Genomic DNA, 13,300 nt, shown 5'->3' with positions numbered 1-13,300 from the left:
TTTGTATTAGAGATCTTCTAAGGAAGTTTAAAATGTTTCCATAGCCATCTTTATTTTAAATCTTATTATAAGACAATGTCCTTAATGAATAAAAAACAATTTTGCCTCATCTCTATGTATTTTTCCAGGATTAAGACTGACCAATAATTATTTCTATGAAAGATGCAATGCTGAATTTCTGACATAAACAAAAACTAAGCAGAATTTTTTGGTTTCAAGGGTATACTAAGTTTATGTGAAGATACCTTAATAGCTTTGCCTATAACACAGGGGAAGAGGGGAAAAGAAAATACTCAAAATGAGCTTTGTTTATTCAAAAGAAAATTGTTAATAAGTTTTGAATTAATCCTTTTTTTTTTTTTTTTTTTTTTTTAAGAAGAAGTCCCACTCTGCTGTCCAGGCTGGAGTGAAGTGGCATGATCTTGGCTCACTGCAATCTCCAACTCCTGGCTTCAAGCGATTCTCTTGTCTCAGCCTCTTGAGTAGCTGGGGTTACAGGCGCCTGCCACCACACCCCAGCTAATTTTTGTATTTTTAGTAGAGATGGGGTTTCACCATGTTGGCCAGGATGGCCTTGAACTCTTGACCTTAAGGGATCCACCCATCTTGGCCTCCCAAAATGCTGGGATTACAGGTGTGAGCCACTGCCTGGCCTTAATCATCCTTAAGAAGTACTAACTTGATTAAAGATTAAAAAGCTCTTAAAGATATCTGATATCCATACAGTTTTCCTCTCTGTCACAGGCGTAAATAGTTACGCTATTATGGATCACACCCACGGAATATTGCTCAATGCAGTTTAAAAAACTGATGCATTCAAAATTTAGAGGCTGCATCAGCAGAAAGATGTATATGGGCACTTGTTCTCCATGCAGCTATGAACAAATGCCCACCTAGTGGTCACTCACTGCTCAATGTGAGTAACTGTTTTCTCAGCCTGGCTTTTAGTGGAGCACAGTATTTCTTCTTTTTGCTCTTCTATGATGCTGATGGTAAATAAACAGACCACAATATGTAAAATGATCATGTGACAGGTGAAGAACCTGGAGGCCCAGAGGTGAAGTGACTTGGTTAGGACCCACTGGGAGTAGCACCAACTGCAGCACCAGCATTCAGGTCTGCCGCTCTCTCAACAGTGTTCTTTCCCACTTGTTACACCACCTGATTGGAGAGTGGCTTGCAGAAAGAACATCTCACCAATATCCTGTTCTCACTGTGATCTTTCAGAGATGAATGTTCAGCTTACTGTTTTATTAGAGTATTACAGAATCTGTGATTTCTTTGATTTATGATCTCCTTTCTCCATTATTCTTAAATCTAGCTTTGCTAAAAAAAAGTGGTTTAAGCCAGTATGATATATGAAAATATGATTTCATAAAAATATAATTAGTCACAATACGAAAGTTATATTTATATGACAAAACAGTTGGCCAGAGTGTGCTTTTAAATAATGAGCTCTCCTTTTGCTTTAAACAATTAGATGCTCAAAAATGTGATAGAAAGCCACTGTTTTTAAAGTCACCTACTGATAAAATTGTGATACACATATTTGGCTCAGACAAAAGTGAAGGTAAATCTTTAAGTTTGTTTTAATTTAGTTCTCATTTTAAATATAAAATTTAGTTGACTACAACTTAAACACCCATTTGTATACTCATCTGTAATTATTACACCATTGTAATTTGAAATAGAATATTTTTTAAAGTTGAAGCTAATAATAAAAAACCTGAAAGGTTTAGTAAATCTTTAAACAGCTCAATATTATGAACTCATAGAGTTTTATAAAAGGCTATTTAAGTGGTGCTTCGTAAAAGCCATTCATTTGATCAGATGAACACAGAAAGATTAGAAACCTTGAGAATAAAACAGAATTTAAAATTCAAATGAACATAGAGAAAGATTAGAAACCTTGAGAATAAAAAATAATTTAAAAAATACGTGATTAAGAATCTGTAAGAAACCAATAGGGCAAGAAATGGAAAAGTGTCAATTTCTAAAAAGAAAAATAATAACTTATATTACTTTTCCCCTTCAAACCATACTTAATACATAGTTATAGTATCTTAATATAAACAGTTCTAGAATTTAAGCTTTCATCCCTTTTTATCAAAAGGCATCCCTAAACTATTATTTTTTGTACAAACTGACAGAATGAATCTGTCTGTGGAGATAAAGATAAGACATACACACACATTGTTCGATTTATAGATGCACTAAATAGTAGCCAGGATATGAAATGCTTCAGCAGCCATTACAATACACAAACATAAATATGCACATGTATTTACAATACAGATTAAGGCAAGATAAAAAAAATGGGCAACTCTCACTTCCAAATATGTAGCTTTAATTACTCAACATGCAGGAGCATTCATAAATATGAATAACATGACAAGCAGAAGCATTAGAATTGTACTAGAAAAGGTAGTTAAGGTGTAAAGATATATTAACAAGGTATAGATCTCTGTTCTGTGATCACGTTGAATTTTTATCTGAATTTTCTTCTCAAAGAAGAAATGGATTTTTTTTTTTAGGTTTTAACGTATATGTTAATAAAGGTCAAATTATTCAGAGACAGGGCCATGCTAACAAAAATGCCCCGCTCTTTATTTATGCCTCTGCCCATCTTTTGATATTGTTTAATTGACCTTTAGCATGCAGAAGAGTTAATGAGGCTCTACTCCTCCTACTCTACCTAAGTTTGCTCAGCTGATTCCTTGCCCTCGACAATGGCTGCAGTGCGATGAACTCGTCACTTAAAGCAACTGTGTTGGAGTACATCTATAAGTGGACAGAAAAGGGATGGACACACAACAAGTCAGTGAGCTGTATTCATCACCTAAGAGACAGACACAGGACAAGCTTTGTAAATACATCTGTTCCTACACGAGGAGTAAATATCATACGTGATACACATACATGACTAACATTTGTAGGGCTGTTGGCTGTGCCATCAAAAGAATTTATTCTTCACTCTTAACACCACATTGTTACTCTGGAGAAAAACAAGGCTCAGAAAACATGCTGACAGCTCTTCCTTTGATATGGTTTTTCCTGCTACTTTTGGTAAACAATGAAGTAGCTGATAGCTTTCTAGCCATTTCTCCATCATTTGAAATCAGGAATGACATAAAGCTAAAATAACGACTACTGCCTGTAGCAAAGGAATAATGTTACATACAGGATTTCAATGACCATATACTGTTTCAGCAAAAAAAAGGAAAGGAAAAAACACACCAACCCCAGCAGGCTAGAAGATCCCTGAGTAGAAGTAGAGACTTCCTTCTTGGATTAGACCACCTAGAACATCCAGTTAAGTCATTTAGAAATAAATTTAGTGAGCCAAGAAGGAAGACTATACTAGCTTTTACACATAGATAAAATGATTGATGCACTGTACATTCCATTTTTAATCAAATAGACTAAATCAATTTTTAGCTTTATAGTGAAAGAACCAAAATATATAAAAGCACTTTTAACTTGTCTAATGGCCTACCTTAAGGTAGCCCAAATATTTCCTATGTATTCCTTTAAAAAGAGGCTATAGGAAAGGTAACAAGAACTGATATTATCACCTTTTATATTATTAAGAAATATCTATGAAAACATGTAAGTTTGCAAATGCTCTGCCTAAAGTAGAATTTCTAAGGATAAATATAAATAAATCTGATTACAGGTTGAGTATCTCCAATCTGAAAATCCAAAATCTGAAACTTTTTGAGTGCAGACATGATGCTCAAAGAAAATGCTCATTGAAGCAGTTCAGATTTTGTATTAAGGATGCTAAATCAATAAGTATAATGCAAATATTCTAAAATTTTAAACAATCTGAAATCCGAAACAAGCACTTTGGATAAAGGATACTGAACCTATATTTACTCTTATAAAGAATTAAGGTTTTTTTTTTGTTTTTTTTTTTTTGTGAGACGGAGTCTCACTTTGTCGCCTAGGGTGGACTGCAACCTCTGCCCCCCAGATTCAAGCGATTCTCATGCCTTAGTCTCCTGAGTAGCTGGGACTACAGGAGTGTGCCACCATGCCCAGCTAATTTTTTTACTTTTTAAAAATTTTTATTTATTATTATTTTCTGAGATGGAGTCTCGCTCTGTCGCCCAGGCTGGAGTGCAGTGGCGCCATCTCAGCTCACTGCAACCTCCACCTCCCAGGTTCAAATGATTCTCCTCCCAAGTAGCTGGGACTAGAGGTGCCTGCCACCATGCCCGGCTAATTTTTTTTGTATTTTTAGTAGAGACGGTGTTTCACCATGTTGGCCAGGATGGTCTCGATCTCCTGACCTCGTGATCCACCTGCCTCGGCCTCCCAAAGTGCTGGGGTTACAAGCGTGAGCCACCATGCCTGGCCTATTTTTTTAATTTTTAGTAGAGACAGGCTTTCACCATGTTGGCCAGGCTGGTCTCCAATTCCTGAGCTCAAGCCATCCACCCGCCTCGGCCTCCCAAAGTGCTGGAATTACAGGTGTGAGCCACTGCACCCGGTCTCAAGAATTAAGTATTTAAAATAATGCCATCCATATATTTTGGTGAAATATAACTGTATTTAGGTCAAAACAGGGAGACAAATTATTCTCCATAAAGATCTAGAGTAAGTATAATGGACAAAGCCTTAAAAATAGTACTCTTTTATTGTGAATTTTTTTTTCAGAAGATTAGGAATAATAAGATAGGCAAACTTTCTGATATATATTTAAGTAATATATTGCAGAGTGGAAAAGTCTGTCCACACTGATATAAATATATACGCATGGACAGATAGAGGAATCAGATTATGCAAATTGTTTTAGCCCCATTTGGAGATCAGTATAACAGAGCAACATTCTCAACCTCATTTTACTTATAATGATAACTGTTTTACTGAGGATCAACTATATACAGGCTCAGTGTGAGGTACTTCATACTCGTTATCTCTAACAACCATGTAAAGTAGCAATTATTTTTCTGATTTTATAGAGGAGGAAACTGAGGCTTATGAAGTGATCAAGGACACAGATATGAACTGTTGAAACAATATCTGAATTCAAGTTTGTCAGGCTTCACAGGCCTATGCTGTCTCAATGGTGTGAATGTGTATATTGGCTAGGATTCGGTTATCAAAGCAAATGAATACTAAAGAAATGTTGTGGACACGAACTACTGAAATTAAAACTAATGCACTGGTCAGGAAGCCTAACTTACATCACCAAATGTTTAGGAAGTAGTTTTTCTATTTGTAGGATGAATATACAACTAAATTTCCAAAATTCATTTGGCATGTTACAAGCATGTTTAAAAAATCTCAACCTGGGAAGAACTAAATGATTAATAAGCTCAGGGCATAAGAGTTGACTAGAATATATTTTTTAGAGTATTTATCCAATACGATAGAGTTAAAAGGACAAACTGAGAGATTTCTAGCTCACGTACTAGTCAAATATATAAAAAAGACACAGTCAACTAAATAGCTACTATCCTTGAGCACCTACTAAGTATTTGGAAATTATTTCATTTAATCTTCACTAGAAAGGTAACAGAAGAGGTATTTCTATCATAATTTTACTAATGAGGAAACTGAGATTCAAAGTCACAGAGATACCAAGTGGAAGACCTGGGATTTGAACTGAGATCTATCAGGCCCCAAAGATTCTTAAGCACTATGTAACATACTGCTAATATTTGCTGTAGTTTAATATTTATTAATAAATGTTTAGTGAGATAATGTAATTTTAAAAATTCTATTCTGTACAAATTATTTAGGTTAAATAATTCATTTCATACTTTTTTGGTGAAAATAATATAATCAGAAAAAATATTACTCGGCCAGGTGCAGTGGCTCACACCTGTAATCCCAGCGCTTCGGGAGGCCAAGGCAGGCGGATCATGAGGTCAGGGGATCGAGACCAGTCTAGCCAACATGGTGAAACCCCGTCTCTACTAAAAATACAAAAAATAGCCAGGTGTGGAGGCAGGTGCCTGTAATCCCAGCTCACAAGGCTGAGAGAGGAGAATTGCTTGAACCCAGGAGGCAGAGTTTGCAGTGATCCAAGATCGTGCCACTACACTCCAGCCTGGGTGACAGAGCAAGACTCCGTCTCGGAAAAAAAAAAAAAAAAAAAAATTACTCAAATTCTGATGTTTCTAAAGACATGGCTATAGATCTTCATTATATATATATGATAGAATGCTGTGATATTACTTTAAAAATATTTACTATTATTATCTGGATATAATTTGATAGTTTCATACCTAAAAACATAAAGTTTTATTAACAACACAATGTAATTAAAAAAATAACTTATCAGTAGTCATAAAATTAATAGAAATAGTAAGAAATAACTTCAAAAATATCACACTGAACAATGTTTATGTTACAAAATAGTTGAAACAGGAATGGCTAATTTCCTATTTTCTGACATAATCAAATTATAATGACAGCTATTCATTATTAAAGATCCCTAACTAAAAAGATATTGAATTTATTATAAAAAGTGGTTACCTGTGCCTTTTCAGTACTTGTAGGGTGGAGGTGTCGGTCAAAGACCTTCTTTATGATATCAAGAAATAGACATGTAACAACCATGAGGATTATGGCAAACCAAGCAGAACCACTTGACAGGAGCTGAATAAACACAAAATACATATTCTGGGAGCCCAAAAATGGCCTGCAAAGAAAGAAAATGTGCTTAATAAAAGTGGAAACTGAAAGACTTAAATCAGGACATCATATAAAGACACTACAGTTGAAAGTAACAAGTACTCCAAGAAAATGTTCAAAACTGAAATCAGTATAATTTAATTAACTGAACTAACAAAACAAGATAAGCTTTAATTGTTAAAAATAAAACAACTATAGTTTTTATTAGGAAAATGGCAAGCAGTTGACCAGATAACCCTATCTTAGTGGTAGTGGATCAGAAGAATAATGTAGTAATACAGACTTAAGGGACCAAGTAAAGCAAGAAAAAGTGTGTAATAAAATATTTTAGAAGGCCGATTATCCAAATCTTAGAATGAAAGCTTTATTCAGAGGCTCTTCTTCAAAAACATATTTTAAAATTAATGTACTCACGAATACTAGTTTTACATAGTAGTAAGTGTTATAAAGATATTCTTTTTGGGTTTTTGTATATACTACCTCAAAAGAATATGGTGAAATATAGAAATATTCATAAGAGTATCCTTTTATGATCCTAAATAGAAGTTAATATTTAGCTAATCCAAATTTTTTTGGCCTACCTTCAGAAGCTTTTTTTTGTCTGATAAATGGATCAAAGACATAGCAGGCAAATGTAATATAAATTCTCCAAAAGAGAGCCCTCAGTTGTCCATCACTTACCAAAGAATCTTAGGAGAAACATTAATTTTTAATCTATCTGAGTAGCCAGTTGAATATCTGATTCTATCAATGAAGATGATGCATACTACTTACTTTTGTGAGAAAAGTTAATGATTAATATTTAATGGTTCTATGTGACTTACTTTATTGTATATATTAACACATAATACATTAATACATAATATAACTAGTGTAAAGAAAATTGTGAAATAAGACAATTGGGGTTTAAATCTTGGCTTTGGTACTTTTTTGTCTTTGTGATCCTGAGGCTCAGTTTCTACACAGAAAAAAACAGGGATCATTATTATGATGAATCAATATCTTATATAAAAAAAATCTAGAAAAATTGTAGATATTCAATAAATGTTAGTTTTTTCCTCTCCATATCAGTAAGATCAACTGAAGAAGTAAACTTACCAGGAGTCTGAAATCTGTTATGAGCAGAATATGTTCATAATGTAACCTATCACAATAAATGTTTATTATAGTTGAAGCAATCCAATTAAAATACAATATATTCACTCACCAGAGAATCCCTCCATAAAACAAGGAAAATACAAAATAAAATATAATAGATCCCCAGGTAACGAGATGGTTGATCCAAGTCCAAAAATGAGTTTCCAGAGCCATCTAAAAAAAAGTTTTTATATCCTTAGAAATATAAACAAATAAAGCTTTACCTTAACCTTTCAGATGAAACTCAAGAATAAACATAAGTATCTAAAAGTCTCTCAGAAGACAGATACAATCCCTCAAAATCCCTCAGAGATAAATATGAATGAAAAGGTCCTAGTATAAAATGAAATAATTTCAAGTTTATAATGTTTTTCTTCTTTGAGGAAACAGCATTCAAATTTCATGTGATTACTCTATTTTCAACTCCATGGCCTAAAACAAATTACGCTGTCTTGCACTATACACAGAGAAGCAAAATTTTTAGAGATTTTTAAAAATGTGATCATAAATATCAGCTGAGGCTTCCCAAAATAATAAACTTTAAAAATAATTTTTTGACAAAAATTTAACTATTAAAATAGTAACCAGTGAAATTAATCGTTATTGAAAATGGAAAAAGGGAAAGTATCTATGGCTAAAGAAATGAAGAAAGTTAACTAACTATGTAAACAGTTGCAAAATGTGTCCACATTTCTAATTTCAGTACCATACCTTTACTGTGACTGTAATAACCATGACTGTGAAGACCAAAGTGCCAAATGTCCAGTTTCCAAACATCTAAACAGAAAGAATACACTATTACATTACGTGTTAACATAATGTTAAATGTCAGGTAAAAAGTCATTTAATTCTCTACTAAAAATCCCTTGAATTATTTAAGTCAGGTACATTTGAAACTGGTGACTATACTCATAAAGTTAAAAGTATGAGAAGAACAGCATAAAGCATTATTTACATGTGTTATTATTATAGACAATGATCTTTTAGATATCATTATCAGACTGGAACCCAAAGATGGGTTTAGAATGGTGTGGCACAGACTATTTTTAGTTAGAATAATGTAGTCATTAGGGACTGCTTTATTGCTGTTGCACAGTAAAAATGGTAACAAAATCCTTTTCAATCACAAGTATTTTCAGAAACCTTTCCAACCAGACGTTACAGCAGAGCACATGCCACGGTATTTTTGGATACAGTACAGTAGAGCAGGAGAAAAGAAATTTACACTTAAAACCTGTATCTGAAAGGAAGGATAATGGATCATGGAATTACTCCTCAAAGGATTCCATGTAAAAATGCAGTTATTGCCAGTCAGAAAGTTTCCCCTGGGCTTTAGAGCCAAAACTTACTAAGGTATTAATCACGCAGAACCCCAAAAGAGTTTCAGGATTTTATCTCTACAAGAATACAACCAGAAGTTTAATAATTTAGTTTACAAAGTAATCATTGTTAGTCCAAACTGCATCGTTTTGTAAGCTCCCTGCTATTTTGCAGACCTTGGTCAAAGTGCAACATTTCACGGGGGTTCGGGACATGAGAAACATCCTGCCTAACCACCTGACCACTAAAGAAAGAGCCCTATCGTATCTTGCTGGATAAAGGTCCAAGGAACACCACGAAGACATCCTGCCAGAACAAGGGTCAGAACTGCCTCATCATGGGAACATCTTATCAATATCCTGCCAGGCAGCGAGCCATACTGCCCAGACCCCTCCCGCCCACACCTGTAAGTACCCTAGCCTGTAAGCAGCCAGTGGGCTCTGGCATTAGGCTGGTCCCTGACTTCTGTAGGTTTTATGCTAGACAAAAAGCCTGCATGCTGTTGAGCCGCCCTCTTTCTGTGTGTGTGTCTTTCTTTAACTCTCACCTTCCCTTCCAAACCTAACAATCATTATCTTAACACTGGTTCAAAAAAATTAATAAAAAGCCTGTTTTTTATTACAGATTTCTAACAATTATCATTTACTTAACAAATTACTTAACCTCTCTATATCTCACTTTCTTCATTTGTAAAATGAGGATAAATCGCAGTTTTCTATAAGAATTGGGGTATACAAAAAGAATGGGGTACCTGGTATATAATAGGCAATCAGTAAATAATAGTTATGATTATCAACAATGAAACATCAATTAATATTCCTTTATTTGAGAGCATTTGGGGAATGTATTTGTCAAGAGGAGAATCAAAAGTCATACTGAACCTGTGCTTATCTGTCTGCTGTCTGCTTTTATCATCTCTAGAAATGACCCAGAAATACCGATGATCAGTGGGTCTCAACTTAGCTCTCTCAGGAGGAGTGCCATTCTCCTCTTTCATGGGTATGGACACAGATACTTTCCTTTTTTTTTTTTTTTTTTTTTTTTGAGTCAGGGTCTCCATCTGTCACCCAGGCTGGAGTGCAATGGCATGATCTCGGCTCACTGCAATCTCCACCTCCCGGGCTCAAGCAATCCTCCCAAGTAGCTGGGACTAGAGGCACACGCCACCACACTTAGCTAATTTTTTTTTTTTTGTATTTTTTACAGAGATGGGCTTTCACCATGTTGCCCAGGCTGATCTTGAACTCCTGGGCTCAAGTGATCCACCTGCTTTGGCCTCCCAACATGCTAGGACTATAGGTATGAGCCATGTGCCCAGCTGGGAGAGATACTTTGATGCAACCGGGGACCTGGGCCTGGAAGTGGTAAGGACATGTCCATCCTTCAGTATCTGGTTTTACTGGGCCTAGACTGGGGTATGTTACACGGTATTTTCCTTAGAGGAGGATTTAGGGCTTCCTCTTGCATAGGCCCCATTCAAGGTCCTAGAAGAAGCCATACAAAAGCATTCACATAGCTTTTTGTGGGTAAAATTATACGAAGTAATGTATTTCAACTGTAATCAACTGGTTAAGACTGCTGTCTCTTTCCATTCTGACTTGCCCTTGAGCTGGTAGGTGATAATGTGAGTGGCAAAGGCATTTTGGAGATCTGGCTGAAGATGAGCTTACAGGCTGGGTGCGGTGGCTCACACCTGTAATTCCAGCACTTTGGGAGGCCGAGGCAGGCGGATCACCTGAGGTTGGGAGTTCGTGACCAGCCTTACCAACATAGAGAAACCCTGTCTCTACTAAAAATACAAAATTAGCCTGGCGTGGTGGCCCATGCCTGTAATCCCAGCTACTGGGGAGGCTGAGGCAGGAGAATTGCTTCTATGAAGCTCTGTTTAAAAGCAACTACAAAAAAGTTGACCCTGTCAGATTACAGAAATAAAGTATTAAGCTCACAAAAACAAAGATCAATAGATGGGACTTAATTAACCAAAAAGCTTCTGCACTGCAGAAGAAATAATCAGTAGAGTAAACAGACAAGCACAGAGTGGGAGAAAATCTTCGCAATCTACACTTCTGACAAAGGACTAATATCCAGAATCTACAAGCAACTCAAACGGATCAGCAAGAAAAAGATAATCTCATCAAAAAGTGGCCTAAGGACATGAATAGGCAATTCTCAAAAGAAGATATACAAATGACCAATGAACATGAGAAAATACTCAACATCACTACCTGGGAAATCCATATCAAAACCACAATGTGATACCACCTTACTCCTACAAGAATGGTCAGAATAAAAACATAAAAAAATAGATGTTGGCATGCATGTGGTGAAAAGGGAACACTTTTACACTGTTGGTGGGAATATAAACTAGTATAACCAAAATGGAAAACAGTGTGGAGATTCCTTAAAGAACTGAAAGTAGGACTACCATTTGATCCAGCAATCCCACTCCTTCTATCTACCCAGAGGAAAAGAAGTCATTATACAAAAAAGATACTTGCACACCCATGTTTATAGCAGCACAATTTGCAATTGCAAAAATAGGGAACCAGCCCAAATGGCCATCGATTAATGAGTGGATAAAGAAAATGTGGTATACATATATACCATGGAATACAACTCAGCCATAAAAAGGAATGAAATCATGGCATTCACAGGAAACTGGATGGAATTGGAGACCATTATTGTAAGTGAAGTAACTCAGGAATAGAAAACCAAACATCTTATGTTCTCACTCATAAGTGGAAGCTAAGCTATGGGGACGCAAAGGCATATGAATGAGACAATGAACTTTTGGGGCTCAGGGAAAAGGGTGGGAGGGGGTGAGGAATAAAAGACTACACATTGGGTACAATGTACACTGCTTGGGTGCACCAAAATCTCAGAAATCACCACTGAAGAACTTATTCATGTAAAAAAAAAGTAAATAATAAAAAAACTAAACAAGAAAATAAAGTCTTAAGCTTATTTTTAACTTTAAAAAATAAAAAGATTACTCAAACAACATATTCAGTGAATTACTAATCTATGACTTCTTGACAAATGTCCATGGTAAGACAATACTACTGTATTATTAAGACAAGCCCTACTTTTTAACTAATACTTAGATTCAAATACTGTGACTACTTTAAGACTGGATAAGGGCTAGGCAAATTTTATGTGAGAGATTAACTCTTCTACTATTTAGGAAAAAAACAAAGTTAAAAATTAGTCACTAGTTCAGCCTTCTCATTAACATTATTTTTGCTCTCTGGCAACTCATTAAGGAGTAATAGTAAAGGAATATCTTTTGTATAGTGCTCTGAAGGTAAAGATGTACCCATGGAAAAGCAGTTTTAGAGACACACATGACAGGAACTCAGGCAGGTCATACACATTCTTCCAGTCTTTCCAAATCTTAGAGAAAATTGATCAAGACTTATACTTTACTAAGAGAAAGAAAGGCCTGTTAAAAAGATTTGAGATAAATACATGAAGAATGACTAGTTCTTTCCTAAGCTAAACTGAAAGAATTAGTGAATACTTCAAAAGTATTTGTTGAAAATTAATTAACATAAAATTGCTAGACCCTAATACAAAAAAAAAGGGATAAAGTCTTAACTTTCCCTGAATTGTTCTACCCTTAAACCCAAACTATTACAAGTCTTCCTCCTGCTCCTCTCCCAGGATCACTTGGTTTGCAATGACTTCATCTTTGCCTCCAGTCACTCCTCTCAGCACTTCCCTCTAGTAACTTTTTCTGCTCTAGGCCCTCAATTGTTTACTGATAACTTGGGCATGCAATAACAATATTTAGAAAACAGGAAGCATTCAACAAACTCAGTGCTAAGCAATGAGACGCGGCCTAGACAGATGTCTAAAAGGATTTTTAGCACAGGGACACATAAGAGGGAGCTGGACCAACAGGAAAGGCGTCTGTGGGCTCAACTGCGAAGAATAGGTGGTGGTGAGGGAATCTTGGGGAAAGGGAAGCATGAGCATTCTAGAGAGGGAACATAAGCAATGTTTTAGAATTAGAGATTAGCATGGCACATTCTGAGAGCCAGCAAGGTGATTTTCACAGTTAAGAGAGAGTTTCTGGGAGAATTAGACCGGGTGGGATTGAGTAGGACATGATCTTCCAATATAATGACTTAATAGTAAAAATAACAATGAACACTGCTAAGACGTAGTGAATACTTCTATATGCTAGCCACTA

The 13,300-nt window shown here is 35.6% G+C and overlaps 1 protein-coding gene across 6 annotated transcripts in view; it reads right to left on the bottom strand.

Moving 5' to 3' along the window:
• Nucleotides 1–13,300, bottom strand: part of ATP11B (ATPase phospholipid transporting 11B (putative)) — a 128,126-nt gene that overhangs the window by 16,368 nt on the left and 98,458 nt on the right. For 4 of the 6 annotated variants that reach the window (NM_014616.3, XM_011512594.3, XM_011512597.3 and 1 more), the window contains 3 exons: nucleotides 8,497–8,562; nucleotides 7,856–7,959; nucleotides 6,490–6,655 (listed from right to left, as the gene is read on the bottom strand). In NM_014616.3, coding sequence (NP_055431.1) covers nucleotides 6,490–6,655; nucleotides 7,856–7,959; nucleotides 8,497–8,562 — 336 coding nt within the window. Of the gene's footprint in view, nucleotides 1–2,695; nucleotides 2,782–6,489; nucleotides 6,656–7,855; nucleotides 7,960–8,496; nucleotides 8,563–13,300 lie in introns of all 6 variants that reach the window. The other 2 variants (XM_047447784.1, XM_011512593.3) reach the window with 1 other exon arrangement.

The sequence above is a fragment of the Homo sapiens genome, chromosome 3, assembly GCF_000001405.40.
Source record: "Homo sapiens chromosome 3, GRCh38.p14 Primary Assembly".
Lineage (NCBI taxonomy): Eukaryota > Metazoa > Chordata > Mammalia > Primates > Hominidae > Homo > Homo sapiens.
The sequence above is the reverse complement of the archived record's forward strand: the minus strand, read 5'-3'. Positions and strand labels throughout refer to the sequence as shown.